The sequence below is a fragment of the Homo sapiens genome, chromosome 10 (assembly GCF_000001405.40).
Source record: "Homo sapiens chromosome 10, GRCh38.p14 Primary Assembly".
Lineage (NCBI taxonomy): Eukaryota > Metazoa > Chordata > Mammalia > Primates > Hominidae > Homo > Homo sapiens.
In genome coordinates, this window is record NC_000010.11 from 130,717,224 (window position 1) to 130,724,106 (window position 6,883).

The 6,883-nt window shown below is 46.2% G+C and overlaps 1 annotated feature.

The window, feature by feature from the left end:
- Nucleotides 1,697–2,896: an enhancer, noted in NCBI's record as "P300/CBP strongly-dependent group 1 enhancer chr10:132517184-132518383 (GRCh37/hg19 assembly coordinates)". NCBI's record gives its function as "activates an origin of replication core promoter dependent on BRD2, BRD4, P300/CBP, MED14 and CDK7 cofactors, with strong dependence on P300/CBP, by STARR-seq in HCT116 cells {active_cell/tissue: HCT116}" and the evidence as "EXISTENCE:reporter gene assay evidence [ECO:0000049][PMID:35650434]".

Here is a 6,883-nt window from a genome sequence, read left to right on the forward strand (position 1 = left end):
AGCCAGCCCCTACTTAAAACTGCAGTTGATCCTCCAGGCACAGCACGGAGGGAGGGAGCTCATTACTGAGCCCTGTGGCCTCAGCGGGAAGCACAGCTATTACTATCAACTTGAAACAAGCATGAGGAGCAATTAGGTGTTCTCTAAAAATCCAAGTTTGTGTGTGCAAAGGGCTGAAATAGCCAGAGATGGGAACACATTACACTGAAGATGGCAAAGACACAGATATAAAACTTTGAAAATAAATGAACTGTCTGAGCCATGGCTTAGCAAGGAAGAAGGACGGCTGTCCACTCTTTTTGAATCTGAATTCATGCATGATGTCTGCTGGGTGGAGGTCCTCATCTACCAGGGAACCAGGTGAGAAGTCAGGATGTGCATTCCAAGGAGCAGAACGCCGACACGCTGCAGCGTGGATGAACCTCGGAAGCATTACGCCCTGCAGAGGAAGCCAGACATACAGGACCACGTATCACATGAGTCCATTTATAGGAAGTGTTCAGAACAGGCAGATCTACAGAGCCAGAAGTAGTTAGGAGTTCCCTGGGGCTGGGGATGGGAACAGGATGAACTATAAATGCCCATGAGGCTCTCACTGGGGTGACAGAGATGCTCCCGAACTGCAATGTGGTGATGTTTCCACAGCTTGATGCATTTATTAAGAATCATTGTGGTGTACACATAAAATGGGTGAATGTTATGCTGTGTAATTTATACCTTAACATTTTTTTTAAAGCCAGTGCATGCATAAAATTCTATAGCAACCAGCATGATATTCCATGCCTATAATATGTCCATAGAAAACACCCTGGAATTTAGGGGAAGCATAGACAAATGGGATCCGAAGTTTGATGGACCCTTTTAAGGGTCTGAAGTTTTGATGAACACTTTAAAGTGTGTTCTTTCTGCTTTTCTACCTAAAGGAAACATGTTCTAGGAAGTGAAATGAGAGCAAGGGAAGAACAGATCCTTGGGGAGTTGAGGGGAGCAGTTACTGTGGTAAGAGCCGTGGTGGAGGGAGGGGAAGGGAGAAGGAAGAAGAGAAGGGAGTGGGGGGAGTAGATGAGGATGGGGAGACACGTTTTCTAGGGGAGTTAAGAAAATTTTATTTTTTATTTTTTGTAGATCACGTACATCATCCTTACAACAAAATAATCTGATAAAGATAAGCCAAGGCAAGACTAAATATAAAAATGTCTACAAGGCATTTCCATTGGGATGTGCTGGCAAGATGACCTTTGGGTGCTGATGGCTGGAGGGGGCCAGAGGAAGTTAGGACATGTGGTTTTAAGGAAATGAAGCCAGTGAGAAAGACCCAGCACGGGAGTGAGCGTCTGCGGGGGCAAAGCTGACTTGAGGCCAGTGAATGTTTCACTACTTGAACATAAGGCTAACGATTGTGCTGAAATAGACAGTGATTCATTCCTAGCTCTCTTCCTTTGAAATGCAATTCCAGCTCCAATAACATATCTAGATTTTAACTACCCCAAAGCATGAATTTCAAATTGAATGAAAACAACTCTGTGAAATTAGGTATAAAAACTCACTCCCTCATCAGCATGCTGGGACGGAGGAAGAGGCAATGGCATTGTGATGAGAAAGAGCTTCACTGTGTTTGGAAGGTCCCTACCAAAACTCACATTGAAATTTAATTGCCACTGTAACGGTATTGGGAGGTGAGGCCTTGAAAAGGTCATGAGCTCATAGGTTAGTCATCCTAGGAGTGGCCTCGAAGGGGTCACGAGCTCATGGGTTAGTTATCCCAGGAGTGGGCTCGAAGGGGTAATGAGCTCATAGGTTAGTCATCCTAGGAGTGGGCTTGAAGGGGTCATGAGCTCATGGGTTAGTCATCCTAGGAGTGGCCTCGAAGGGGTCACGAGCTCATGGGTTAGTTATCCCAGGAGTGGGCTCGAAGGGGTAATGAGCTCATAGGTTAGTCATCCTAGGAGTGGGCTTGAAGGGGTCATGAGCTCATGGGTTAGTCATCCTAGGAGTGGGCTTGAAGGGGTAATGAGCTCATGGGTTAGTCATCCTAGGAGTGGGCTTGAAGGGGTAATGAGCTCATAGGTTAGTCATCCTAGGAGTGGGCTCAAAGGAGTCATGAGCTCATAGGTTAGTCATCCTAGGAGTGGGCTCGAAGGGGTAATGAGCTCATGGGTTAGTCATCCTAGGAGTGGGCTTGAAGGGGTCATGAGCTCATGGGTTAGTTATCCCAGGAGTGGCCTCGAAGGGGTCATGAGCTCATGGGTTAGTCATCCTAGGAGTGGGCTCCTGATAAAAGGATGAGTGTGGCCTAATTTCCTCTCTGTCTCAAATGCTCACTTCCACCCTTCTGCCTTCTGCCATGATGGGACCCTCCCAGATGTTGTCACCTTGTTCGAGGCCTTCCCAGCCTCCAGAACTTCTGTTCTATATTAACAGATAAACTTCTGTTCTATATTAATGACCCAGTCTGCTGTATTCTGTTATAGCAGCAGAAAATGGACTAAGACAAGCCTCCAGGTTCCATGTGCATGTATGCAAACTCCAGTGGGAGCAGGTAACAGCAGGCAGCCTTCTGGTCAGTTACAGCAACGCTGGCTCTGTGTTTCCTCCATAAACTGTAACCATTCCTGTAACTTCCAAATGGAGGTTTTGTGAGGGTTAGAGAGAGAATGGCTTGTGGAGTACCTGGCATGCCGACACGTAAAAGCTCTTATCATCCTCTTCAGCAAGAGCCCACCATGGGTGGTTAATAATAGTCCTGCTGAGGGTCACTTGGTCACAGCAGCGACTTCTGTGGAGCTCAGTTTTGGCCAGCACAACACCCATCTTGGTTCTCAGTGCAAAGGGAGGCATTCGTCTTTTCCCTTGAAGATCATCATAAATATGGATTCATTTCCTCTGTGTTTGTTCACATTTGCAGTAGAAATTGATCAGTAAGTACAACCAAATAGAGTCCTCTTCTATTTTTGATTTTAACAAATTTCACTTTTTTATTACTTTATCACTTTATGCTCGGCTAGTGTTGTAAGCCCTATCCACACAGGGCATGCCTTGCTCTGGAATTGAAAGCGAGTTTCCAGCGCCTTCCCAGGAAGTGCTCTGGGAGACTGAACCTCAGGAAGAGAGCTGCCTGGGCCATGGACATCTCCCTAATGTGTAGAAAGAAAATCCCTATTTAACATGCAAACAATCAATAAGCACAAGGTATAAATGGGGGGATATTTCTACCTGCTGTTTCCTGAGCATCAGTGAGATCCATTGCTCAGTGCTATCTCGCACCTGCTGAGCCGGAGCTCACCAACCTGCTGACTACAACAATCGTGCTTCACATGAAAGGCCTGGGGTTTTTTCCCAACTCAATACTATCTGAAGCAAATATGAGACTTTAAATAGACACTGGGAAACTTTATTCTCTGGGGCAACCAACTTCCCCATGGTGGTTCTTGCTTTCTTCCTTTTTCTTCATCGATCATACTCTTTGAAAAAAAATCACTTTTAAATGATATTCTCTTGAAGCCCAGTGGTTCCAGCCACACAATCCAGCTACATTCATGTTCTGGCTGCCGGGAAAAACCAATAACCACACAAAGACACCCCCACACCAACAGCCCCCACGCAGATACCCCTGCACCCCCTACACACAGACACCCCACAAACAGACACCCCACACACCACCACCAGGTAGAAAGGCTGAGGTAGGCTTATTTTTTAAGGCAACTAATATTTATATTAGGAATTTTAAATGATCACTTCTACTTTCATTTAAAAAATTTTTAATCTTTTTATTTCATGTATGTATGTATGTATGTATGTATGTATGTATGTATTTGAGACGGGGTCTCACTCTGCTGTGCAGGCTGGAGTGCCGCGGCACAATCTAGGCTCACTGCAACCTCCACCTCCTGGGTTCAAGTGATTCTCGTGCCTCAGCCTCCCGAGTAGCTGGGATTACGGGCATGCGCCACCACGCCCAGCTAATCTTTTGTATTTTAGTAGACACAGGATTTGACCATATTGGCCAGGCTGGCCTTGAACTCCTGATCTCAGGCGATCCATGCCCCTCGGCCTCCCAAAGTTCTGGGATTACAGGTGTGAGCCACCATGCTGGCTGCTACTTTCCTATTATGAGTGGTGGTGCCCAGCCACAGCCAGGGCTTGTACTAATGTCCTCTACTCCAAGCCTGCTTTTTCTCCTCACTTAGAAGAGATTAAAAGTGGGCAGCTGGGATGTCCCAGAGCTGTTCGTCTGGGACCCAAATCCCCTTTTTTTTTTCTGAGGGCTTGCCACTAGTCACCTTGACTTATAGATTAGGAACCAGGATACCCAGAGAATTCAGTAACATATGAGAGCATCTGCCTTTCCTGAGGGGGATGTTTGCCACCAGGGCCTGATCAAATTCACTGGTGTCCCTGTTCCCATTATTGGGTGGAGTTTTGAGGGAGTCTGGCTCGTGGGTGGCTCCTAGTCTCATAGGCATGGAGATGTGTGTGTGCACCTGTGAGTGTTTGGTGTGTGTGCATGTGCATTTGTGCATGTGTGCACATGTGTGTGCTTTGTGTGTGTGTGTGTGTGTGTGTGTGTGTGCGCAGAAGCCATTCCATTTACCTAGATGTTTGGGTTACAGTTTTTTTTTTGCAAAATTCACAGATAATTTACTCTTTAGCATAGAGGGATTTTTAAATTAAACTTTCTTTATAAAGTTTTTCATAAAAACTAGAGGTGTTGATTTCTATGTTTTCCTGTCCCCTCTGGTCTTGACGCTGATGTTTTGTGGCCAGGCCTGGGCTTGGGACAGGCTCTGCTCAGAGCCACAACTTGCCATATTTCTGTGTACCTACCTGGCAACGGAGGGAAGACAGTTCCTACGTCCTAATTAGTGAAGGAAGAACAGATGGCCGCAGATGCCTGAAGGCAAGGATGGAGGGAGGCACCCAGCGGCGACACCAGAATAAAGAGCCGATTGCAGCCCAGTTCAGTCCTTCCTGACAAAGGGGCCTAAAGAGTCTCAGCCCACGAATATGCCTCAGCAGTTTTACTTTGCAAACTACACTCCAAAAAGGGCAACCTTCTTTTAGAGAAGCTGCCAAAATGATTGCACCGTGCGGATGACGAGCTGCCACAGAGTGCCGAAGAGGAGGCCGTTTCAAATCACGGCCGTGTTCCGTCCATTATTTTGAAAGGACTGTGCAGAAAAGGTGGTCATTGGTGGGATGCTCTTTGACCTTGAGACGCTAGGGTTCAGAGAAGCCATTGTGAACATCACTAATGTGTGTGTGTCTGCGTGTGCATGTGTGTTCATGTGTGTTGCTGGTGAAAGAAGCCAAACTCTGTAAAATATTTGAAGAGATTTTTTTTCTGAGCCAAATGTGAGGACTGTGACCCATGACACAGCCTCAGGAGGTCTGAGAACATTTGCCCAAGGTGATTGGGTGGCAGCTTAGTTTTATACCTTTTAGGGAGACATAAGACATCAATCAATACATGTGAAGTATTCATTGGTTTCATCTGGAAAGGTGGGACATCTCAAAGTGGTGGTGAGGCAGGTGCTTCCAAAACACTGGTGGATTCAAAGATTTTCTGATTGGCAATTGGCTGAAATAGTTAAATTATTATCTAAAGAACTGGAATCAGTAGAAAGGAGTGTCTGGGTTAAGATAAGGAATTTTAGAGACCAATGTTCTTATTATCTAGATAAAGTCTCCTGGGTGGCTGCCCTTAGAAGCAATAGGTGGCAAATGTTTCCTGTTGAGACTTTTAAAAGGTGCTAGGCTCTCAGTTAATTTTTTTCAGGATCGGAAAATGACCTGGAAGTGAAGGCGATTCTCCACAGAATGTAAATTTCTCCCACAAGAGATAGCTTTGCAGGGCCATTTCAGAATAGGTCAAAAAATATATCCTGAGGTAAGATACTTTGATTTCTTTCAGGGCCTGCTATCTGTCATGTGGTTTTATGCTCGAGTCAGGTTAGAATGTGGTACCTTATTGCTATCAAGAGTCTGCTTTGTCAGTCTTAAGATCTCTGCTTTCACATTAGTGCTGGTCAGTTGTGCCTGAATTCCAGAGGAAGGAAGGTATAACGAGGCAGTCCAACCCCCACTTCCCATCATGGCCTGAACTAGGATTTTTTAGGTTGCTTTGGAATCCCTTTGGCCAAGAGGAGGAGTCCATTCAGTCAGTTGGGGGACTTAGAATTTTATTTTTGGTTTACTGTGTGTGTGTGTGTGTGTGTGTGTGTGTGTGTGTGGCAGGAAGGCAGTCACAGATCTTGTTTCCTATAAACTCCTGTAGTTCTGAAAAGTGATCCCTGTCCCCAGATCACTCATTCACAGACCATTTGTACCCCAAAGCTTTCCTGGTTAATAAGGCAAAGGTCTTATTTCTTCATGGAGGTGGTAGGATTTGGGGTAAGAGCTTTAAAACTGGCTCCATTAATTAGCAACTGTGATTCTGGAGTTAATTAATCCCTTGGAACTGCAGATTCTTGTTATATAAAAACAATGAAATTAGTAGGTTTCTAGTTATCAGGACCTGGAGGAGGATTCAGTGAGATGACCTTGAGTCATATCTTTCTTGCAGCAAGGACATGAGGTTTCCATCTCATTGCACATGGAGCAGCCCCCAGGCTCTGGGAGCATCAACCAGGGTCAGCAGCAGAGGCTGAGCAGGGACCAGAAGGGTTCCCTGCAGGCTGGAGCAGTCCTCGCTCCCTGGTGGTCCTTGTGGAAGGCCATCCAGGCAGGCTTTTCCAGGGAGGGGTGGGCCTGGGCTTGGCTACTCATTCGTCTCCTACAGGGAAGCCAGAGCTCCAGTCCTGGTATTGCTGGGCAGTTGAGTGCCTCTTGGTCTTTACCGGGGAAAGGTGCAGGCAGTGGTGGGCCCAGAGCAGCAGTACCTCTC